The sequence below is a fragment of the Homo sapiens genome, chromosome 12, assembly GCF_000001405.40.
Source record: "Homo sapiens chromosome 12, GRCh38.p14 Primary Assembly".
In the NCBI taxonomy this organism is placed as follows: Eukaryota; Metazoa; Chordata; class Mammalia; order Primates; family Hominidae; genus Homo; species Homo sapiens.
This window is the reverse complement of record NC_000012.12, coordinates 127647157-127657324: the sequence shown is the minus strand read 5'-3', so window position 1 is coordinate 127657324 and position 10168 is coordinate 127647157. Positions and strand designations below refer to the sequence as shown.

General features: G+C 45.2%; 1 long non-coding RNA gene across 1 annotated transcript; it reads left to right on the top strand.

The window, feature by feature from the left end:
- Nucleotides 1-1736: 1736 nt before the first annotated feature.
- LOC105370068 (uncharacterized) lies at nt 1737-8429 on the top strand. Its single transcript, NR_134995.1, has 4 exons — nt 1737-1774; nt 5985-6080; nt 8010-8098; nt 8211-8429. It is a non-coding gene; the product is annotated as an uncharacterized LOC105370068 (long non-coding RNA).
- Nucleotides 8430-10168: the final 1739 nt, after the last annotated feature.

The window sequence follows — 10168 nt, the reverse complement described above, 5'->3', positions numbered from 1 at the left end:
CCTTACTCAATGCATCTTTAACTACCAAGAAAAAAAAATGGCCATGACTCTGATACATTTCTCCAAGTCATGAGAGCCTCAACTGATATTTAAATAAAAACTTGCCTATTAAGCAAATGCACATTAGAAGAAAAAAGGAATAAACAGATGTCTCTCATTAACAAAAGAAGGGCTTTTATTTTTACCCAACTTTACTTTTATTGCCCTCCTAAATGCTCATCCCTAAATGGAATGAAATGAAGAATTCAGCTAAATAATAAATTTTTTCAAGTTTCAAGATGTAGGAGACTCAGTGAAGTTGAGATAAAGGGCACCGCAGCTCGGCCGGAGGCTGGCCAAGGAGACAGCTGCCATGTCCAACTTGTTCTGGGATCATACGACTCTCAACATCTTATTCAAATGAAACGATTTTCCTAAAGCAGACTGCATGGATTCAGCCAGGGTCAGAAGAGCAGGAAGAGCAGGCAGGGCACAGCATTGACCTTGACCCGACCTTGCAGCCATCACCCCATCTATACTTGGCCCCAGTGCTCAGGAAATTTGCAATGACCCCTGTCATCTCACGGGGCTGGGGACAGCATCCAGGCCCCACAGGGGGCTAGGTAGGTGGTAAGATGAAGCACACTGTGGAATTTCCTAAGACCCATAATTGTATTTGCATTTTAAAAACTTTCCAAAACAACTATGGACTCTTCCCCTTCACTAGAAATAACTGATCCTATTAGTTTCTCTTCTGCTTACCCATAAAGACCATGGCTTTCAAAAAACGTTTAATTTCCCTTTTACGCCTGACCACACACAGCACAGAAGCCTGGGGAGGGGCATCACTGCCCCCCAAGAGTGCATTCTTGAAAAGTGCGATGACCTCCCTGGCACAGGGCCTGGTGAATGCTTCTCCCTGTAAATATCTGCTAAATGAATCAATAAGTAGACTAATAAGTAGATGAAATCTACTTCTCTGAGGATGAAAGACTCATCAAATCAACATGCCCTGCTCAGGAGTGGAAGTGGGTCCACTTCCCACTGGATTATTTTGTGCTGGAAATAATCCAGCACAAACATCCTAATGACTGTAACTTCTGTTCACCCCCCCATGTCTCTGATAAACGGTGAGGGGTGGGGGCTGGGGGAGACTGGGAGGAGAGACCCCTTGCAAAGGGGACTTCTCACCACCATGCTGGCTGCCAGGTAGGAAGAGGAGTCCAGTTACCAGAGCTCCCATCTTCACAGGAAAAGACAGTAGAGCTATATTTTACTTGGGGCCTTCCAGTGTTTATGTGTTGTCAAATAATTCAGTCTTTCTAAACTAACTGAACAGTTTGGCATCTCTGATGTATGCATGGGAAAAACATCCTTAATTTGCCTCTCTGGGAAGTAGATGCTGAAATAGTGTTAGGAGTGCAGGGTGCCGGCAGTTTACTGGAGGCAATACTCATTGTATTAGTCAGGGTTTTCTAAAGGGCCAGGACTAATAGGATGGATGTTTATATGAAGGGGAGATTATTAAGGAGTACTGACTCACACAGTTACAAGGTGAAGTCCCACAATTTGCTGTCTGCAAGCTGAGGAGCAAGGAATCTAAGCTGAGGAGCAAGGAAGTCAAATCTTAAAAGGAGGGAAGCCGACAGCGCAGCCTTCAGTCTATGGCTGAAGGCCCCAGAGCCCCTGGCACACCTAAGTCCAAGAGTCCAAAAGCTGAAGAACTTGGAGTCTGATGTTTGAGGGCAGGAAACCTCCAGCATGGGAAAAAGAGGAAGACCAGAAGACTCAGCAAGTAGGTTACTTCCTCCTTCTTCTGCCTGCTTTACTCTAGCTGCTCTGGCAGCTGACTGGATGGTGCCCACCCAGATTGAGGGTGGGTCTGCCTTTCCCAGTCCACCGACTCAAATATTAATCTCCTTTGGCAGCACCCTCACAGACACACCCAGGAATAATACTTTGCATCCTTCAATCCAATCAAGTTGACACTCAATATTAACCATCACACCTCTGAACATTAGAAGAGGGAGGAAGTGGGAAAGGGATCTGACAAAGCCCAAGCCAGCACAGAGGGGGCTCCAGCCGTGGGGAGGGGGTTGCCCATTAGAGGAGTGCTGCATTAGAGGGAATGGGTCAGACCCCAACATCTCTGCAGCGCTTTGCTCCATCATCAACCGGCTGCCCGGGAGGAGCGTGGCCTCGGCTCAACAACAGAGGCAGATCTGGACCACCTTAGCAGGTGGGGCCTGTCGGCTACTGAACCCTTGGAGCTAAATGGCGAGGCATAGAAATCTAGGTGGCATTGCTCCACATGGTGGAGCACAAAATGTTTTGCAATGGACCCACTTCCACTCCTGAGCAGGGTGTGTTGATTTGATGAGTCTTTCACCATCAGAGAAGTAGATTTCATCCACACATTAGTCTACTCATCGATTCATTTAGCAGATATTTACCGGGAGACAACAGTCACCGGGTCCTGTGCCAGGGAGGTCATTGCACTTTTCAAGAACACATGCTCTCGGGGGCAGTGACTCCCCTCCCCAGGCCTCTGTGCTGTGTGTGGTCAGGATTCTGCACAGCACAGAACAGGGCCACTCACTCAGTCTCAGGGCCGGCCTTCCAGGGACATCCACAATCAGTCCATCCGTTTGACTTCTCTGGTGGCTGAAATCCTGGCTTATCGGAAATTCATAGTGTTACAATGACCCGCCCACACATATTTATCTGAAACACACAACTGACTGCCAAGACCAGTCACATTTCAGTTTCAGGGTTGGGTGGTTGATGGAAAGTGGAAATAGAGAGGAGAAAATACCTGGCTGGTATCATACCTTGACTCGCAGAGAGATCAGATCACAGTGCATTTAAATCTGACCTCACTTTTGGAGCAAGTAAAGGGAAAGGAGGAATAGGAATCTTAGCTAAGAAAAGACAGAGACGCCAGATTATTCATTCAATGTTTTAAAAAATGACAGCCCCTCTATGTACGCCTTGTGGGTACATTGTGGGTGACAGCAGCAACACCCCCGTTTCATGGTGCTTGTCGTCTAGTGAGAAAAGTAATACAATAAATTGGTGAAAAGTAAACGCATAAGATAATATTTGACAATGAGGAATACTTTGAAGGATATGAAACAGGTTGGTGTGTGAGAAGGACTAGAACTATTGAGAATGACCTGAATGATCCCACAAGAAAAGGGTTCTATGGAAAGGGGATGGCTCAAATGGAAACACCCAGAAGTAGGAACCATCCTGGGTCGTAGAACTGGCACATGGCTGTGTGGTTTGTGGGGAATGGGAGGGTGGAGCGAAGGTCATGGAGGAAGGTGGGCCAGGCACACAGGGTCTCGGGGCCTCTGAGCACTGAGATCCCTTGCTCCTCAGGTGTTAAGAACAAAGGAGCAAGTCCTGGTGTTCAAATACTGTCCCATGACACTGAAGAACAGAGACCTGAGGAATGCACACCTTCTGCTCCTCATCAAGTCTCCTAAACAGGCTGCCCAGCTCACCAACCTGGAAGGAACCTCCTTTCTCCATCTTTGTGCCCTCGTCCCTGGAGCCACAGCTATGAGAACAGGTGTGCACACTGGATCTAGGTGCGACAGGCATATACCCTCTCTGATATGGTTTGGCTGTGTCCCCACCCAAAATCTCATCCTGAATTGTAGTCCCCATAATCCCCACATGTCAAGGGCAAGACCAGGTGGAGATAATGGGATCATGGGGGCAGTTTCCCTCATAGTGTTCTCATGATAGTGAATTCTCACGATATCTGATGGTTTTATGAGCATCTGGCATTTCCTCTGCTTGCCCTCACTCCATCCTGCCGCCCTGTGAAGAAGGTGCCTGCCTCTCGGCCATGAGTGTAAGTTTCCTAAGGCCTCCCCAGCCATGCAGAACTGTGAGTCAATTAAACCTCTTTCCTTTATAAATTACTCAGTCTTGGGTATTTCTTCATAGCAATGTGAAAATGGACTAATACACTCTCCTTTGGAACCCCTGGGCCAGTCAGTGATACAGAGCTAAGGTCCAACACCAGGGGGACTTGAGGTTATAAGGTATTTGTGAGACCCCCAAACCTAGGAAGGATCAGAACCAGAGCAGATGGAGGAAACGGTCAACAGAGAGGGTGGCTAGAAATAAATCATAATAATAATAGACTAGGCTTGCTCAACACCTCATTATAAACCAGACCCCCGAATCTAAGCACCAAGCATTAAGACAGTTAATTGTGGTAGCGAATAATGGCAGATGCTACTGTTACCCTTATTTTACTAATGTGGAAACTGGGCTAATTTGACAATGAAGCAGAAACAGAAGCAAGACAAGATTGTATTCTGCTCCACGGACAGAGACTGAGAGACCAGCTACCCCCTGCTGCAGTAAAATAAACCTTTGTGTAGGACAAGACACTTCTGGGTTCTCATAGGCCACCTCCATGGCAGCTCCCCATGAGGGAGGGAGGTCACCCCTCATCCAGCCCTTGACAGCACTGGCTGATTGACAGGTGCAGCCACAGCCTCCCCATTGCACAGCTGGGTATAAAGTGTGGTGGTGCACACTTCCCAGTCATTTCTCAGCCATCATTCTCATTGTGCTTGTTAAGCCTTTTCACTGAGTCTTTAATGGGCATACAGTTTATTTCTCTAGTGTTTTGAACCACCAACTAGTTGTGCAGAAATCTCCTCCTAGGCCAACATTTTGTACGTTATCGCCTGCATTGACCATGATCACGCAGTACCTAACAAGGAGAGATTCTGCTGCAGATGGGGATGTGGGCGACATTTTAATACAGCACTTCCAAAAAGCAGACAACATGATGAATAGGTGGTGATAAAATGGTCATCTTGCAGGTGGCTGGATGTAATAAAGTGATGTGTAATGGCCCACCAGGGAGCTTTTCCAAGAGGGAGAATGGATTTCTTGGGAGGGTCAAGGCTCCATCAAAAACCTCATTCCTTCTCAGCATTGAGGGGTTGCCTGCCCTGAAGTGGACTGTTAACCACATTGATTAAAAAGATACCAGCTCTTCTCTGAGCACCTATTTGTCTGGTACTGCCTAGGGCTGGGATATATAGCATGGGATATAAAGGTAGATGAAAGCCTCCACTCATGGGGCTTATATTTTAATGGGGGAAGACCGACAATAAACAAGTATGTAAGTTAAATACATAGTGTATCAGATGACCGTAAGTGCAACTGATAACAGTAAGGCCAGGAAGAGGAAGAGAGTACTTGGTGACTGGGGGTACAATTTTACTGAAAAGGGTTAGGGATTCCTAACTGAGAAAGCGACCACCTTGAACAACTCAGTGTAGCAACTGAAAGACAGAAAAGTAAAATGATGATAATAATGACACTTTCAAAGTTATTACTCTGTACTGTGTATTGTCCTAACAATTCAACTCACTGATGCTTTATTTTCAAGTATGGAAATTGAGATAAACACTTAAAAAGCCTTTCCCAAAGTCACACGGGCAATAAGCTGTAAAGACAGACCAGACGTTGACCCAGGCAGTCTGACTCCAGTAAGTGTGACTTGAAGCCCATATCCCACTGTCTTTCATGGAATACGGTAGAGAGTACCTAAGGCCATGAGCCTGCTGCTGTGTAGAGGTTCAAGAGTCCTGCCCTACTGGACTGCTGCTGTGTAGACAAGGCTGCCCTACAGTCTGCTGTGGTGTAGAATAGACTCAACAGTCCTGCCCTACTGGACTGTTGCTGTGTAGACAGGGCTGTCCTACTGGCTTGCTCTTGTGTAGACAAGGTTCAAGAGTCCTGCCCTACTGCCTGTTGGCCATGTGAACTGGGGACTCATTTGACTTCTCCTTGCTTCCTTGTTAGTATACTGGGGATATTAATAGTTCCTGTATCTCAGGGCTCTTGTGAAGTTAAAATGATGTAATAAATGCAAAGCTCTAAGAAGAGTTCCTGGCCCATGTTAAGTGCTCAATCAAGAATGTTATTCTTGCCAATATCACCATCTAGTCCTTGTTACTTTTTAGGTCACATGTAGGATGTAGGGAAAGGTATCAACATCATCCTTGGCAGAGAGAAGGTCAGAGATCACCCACCTGTTGTGCCCATGGAGTGTCTCAGGAGTAAGTACATTGCCCCGTTCCTCACTTAGTCACCTAATCAAACACCGTCTGGGGAGGTCATCCCCAGTGATTTTCCTATTCCTAACCATCAACAGGGATTGAAAGGTCGATGGGATGTGCAAATAGGAGGAAGGTGAGTGCTAGGGTCTGGATGTCTGTGTCCCCCTCAAATTTCTGTTTTGAACCCCTCATTCCCAAGGTGATGGTATTTGGGGATAGAGCCTTTAAGAGGGGATTAAGTCGTGGGAGTGGAGCCCTTATGAATGGATGAGTGATCTTATGAAAGAGGCCCCAGGGAGGCCCCTTCTGCCCTGTGAGGTTACAGGGAGAAGACAGCAGGTGATTTATGAGGCCGGACACCGAATCTGCTGGTTCCTTGATCTTGGACATTCCAGCCTCCAGACATCTGAGAATACATTTCTGTGGTCTCAGCCACCCGATATATGGTATGAGACTTAGCCCAAACAGACTCAGACAGTGAATCAGATTGAGACCACTGGTAGCTCCCAGTGAGTCCCTTGGGAAGAAACAAGTGCCCCTGTAACCCTATCTCATAGATTGTGGTTTTACACTTTGGAACATTTTTGTAAGTTTACGTAGGACTCAGTTAATGTTCTGGATTTCTACCTGGATGTGCAGAATTCATAAAGTTCAACCTATATACATTTTCCACATAAATGTACAAAAAATTAAAGGAAAGATGTAATCACAAAATAATTGAGAAAACAAATCATAGAAGAGGGTGTTCATAGATGTGTCCAAACGAGTGTGTGGTATGCACGGTGACAGGAGTGCTGGCTGCATTGGCTGGTGCAGTTGGGAGGTGCCAGAGCCTCCGGGACATCCTGAGCTTCCAGTCACTGGGCCAGCAATATGGTGTCCACAGACATTCCTGCCCACTCAGCCTGGCTGGAGAAATGGTGGCACAATTTCCTGTTTCTAGGCTCTACTTCATTCCATTCTACCAGTCTTAATGGATATCTATCCAATCACCAACATGTGTCACTCATTACTTGTGTTAAAAGAAAAACTTCAGCCACATTAAATTTAAAGGACTTCAATTGAGCAATGAATGATTTGTGAATTGGGCAGCCCCCAGAATCAGCACATTCAGAGAGGTGCCTCCAGATGTGCCTCGTGATGAGAACAAATTTATAGACCAAAATAGTAAAGTGATATACAGAAATTGGAAGTGAGGTACCAAACAGCTGGATTGGTAACAGCTGGACGTTTGCCTTATTTGAACACAGTTTGAACACTCAGCAGTATATGACTGGTTGAAGTATGGCCTCTGGGATTGACCAAGACTCAGCGATTGTTAAAGGCGCATACTGCTCAGTTAGGTTTTCAGTCCTGTCTACCTATTAAGTCGGGTTGCAGTTTATCCACAAGGACTTAATTATAGAAGTACGGAGTCTTTCTCAGGCCATGTTTAGTTTGCTTCAACACTTGAAAATGCTTTATAGCTCCAAGGATCTACTGAATAAAGGCCAATAGCTTAGCTGGAGCCCAGTGGCCCTCCACAGGCAGGCTCCCACCACCAGACACATCACCCATCCTTCCTCCCCGTGCAGCCTGCTCCAGTCACCCAGGATGACCCAGCATTTCCAGAATACACAATGTTCTTTTTCTGCCTTTCCTAATGATAATAAATTAAACAAGATACAAATTTATCACAATTGCAAGATTTTATGATGATGATTTCCAGTGTGGTGTTGTGTATGATTCTCCCAATAACTTTATACGGTAGGGACCTAACGTTGCTTCCCTTTTGTTTATAAGAAACTTCAGATTTGGGGCTATTCCAAAAAAGCTGGATTTTGCTAAGGTAACAACCCCAAATTTTCCAAGACTTAAAACAACACAGTTGATTTGGCATTGTCACAATGTGAGAGGTCACAGGATCTGTTTCCCGTTGTTCTGTCTCAGGAACTCAGGCCGAAGGAAGCCCCTCCATCCAAAGACTTGGACTTCTCAACTGGAGGTTGCAGGTTCTGCCACAGCAGGAGAGACAGCAGGCTGGTACCTTTCTTTTCAGCCCCAAAGATCATGAGAGCACGTATTATGCTACTCAGAAAAAATATTATCTATTTTACTTTTCCATATACCCTGAATGTGCTCTTTTCTTAGAAGCAAAAAACGAACAATGAATCCCAAGCCCCTGCTGCTGTGTAGATGGGGTTCAAGAGTCCTGCCCTACCAGACATTAGAGAACACAGGAAGAGCCTGGTGCCTGGAGGGGAGAGGGTGTGGCTGCCCTGACGACGGGAAGGAGGGGCCCTCTCTGTGTTTTGAGTGTAGCCCACATGACCTGTTTTCTGCTTTAAAATAAAACATTAAAAGTCCCAATTTCTATTGTTTGTTCCTCCTAGATTCATAGTATGTTAGTTGAGTCAATTACCTGTGTGCATTTTTCTCTTCATCTCTCTTAGGCAAAGTACTGATTTAAATTCAACCTATAGTTACCTGGTCATGTCTGAAGGCCTTGGCCCATCACATTTGAGCGAATGTGGTTAGATAGATGTGTGATGGCTCAATCCCAGACGCCTCCACTTAATGCTATTGTGGGTATGGAGAGACACAATACTGGAAATATTTGTCAATCTCAGCAAATGTCCTCAAAATGCCCCCCAGGAACACATATGGATTCACTAAATAGTTTTCCAACCATACAGTGTAAGAGACTGAAATTCCATTTTCAGCTACAAATTAACTTGGGGAATTTGGAAATATCCCACGCTATCTGTGAGCTGGAGATCTATGAATTTCAATCTGTCAATATCCACAAATAATTCCAAGACATTTAAAACACACAGACTCGAGAGCTAGGGACATCTGGTTTACCAGGCGTTCTCCCTCCAGCTTAGTGGCTGCACGTGTTCCTGTTGGCTGCTGGGAGCTATGATGGTGTCACACAGGTAGCACGTCTTTCTGCCTGAGTTAAACACATTTAACTCAATCAGTGGAGTTACTGTTCTGAGGCCAAAACGTCTCCATCTCGTATCTTCACTTTTGTTTCTCATACAAGTATGATATTAATTTCTAACTCTGAGTGGCAGATTCCTCCCAGAGCTATAAAAACAATGGCAGAAAGAAGAGGAACATTTACTGAGCACTCCCCAGACGCATCTTTTCATTTCACCGGTCACACCACAGCAGCAGAACAAATATTGCAGGCTCATGTACAGTTCCATAACTAATCCAATAAATGACAGGGGCCTCCCACTCTTAGCAATTCTCATTTAGAATGCGACTGTCCTCTAAAATGTTTATTCCCCAATTCTTAGTGTCATGAATTTATTTACGCAAAAGCTTCATGGAACCTGAAATTCATTATGGCATATCCTCCATTTACAGCTCAGGAAATGCTGGCTCTAGTCATCGTCTCCCCTGTATCAGTTTAATCTGAACATAAATACATGCATTTGCTGCAGGAGTCACTAATGTGAAATTGTAAAATTGTCAGAGTAAAGCCAGAATTCCTGACGGAGAATTGTGTTCCATTTCTTTCTCCTTACTACATGAAGGATTGCCTAAGTCTGGTTACTACCTTTTTTCTTGAAAGAAGTGGGAAAAACAGTACCCTCTGATGAGAAGATATAGATGAGAGCACATGCCCACACCTGATGACTTCAGCCAGAAGCAGCTGAAGAGGGCAGCTCAGAGACCTGTGATCCCCTGCTTCAGGCTTGTGGAAAGCTCTGCGGGACAGACACATCTACCGGCATGGCCTTCCAGGGATAATGACTTTCACTTTATTTCTGTCTTAGACACCTTATTTGTTTTCCTCTCATTGGAAGGGAGTTCTGGAAACTAGAACTAAAACTCAGGGCATGCAGTCTTCATCAATAACCATTCAAGCCTAGAACCTGGGCTGCCTCAATGTGGCTAGCTCATTGCCAGTGGACACTGATGCTGTAAAGAAGTAGAAAATACATGAACATCAGGTGATAACTCAAAATTCCATCACCCTCAGCTCATAAACATTGAAATTGTCACTAACCACCATTCACATCTTTTTTTTTTTTTTTTTTTTGAGGCGGAATTTCACTCTTATCACCCAGGCTGGAGTGCAATGGTGTGATCTC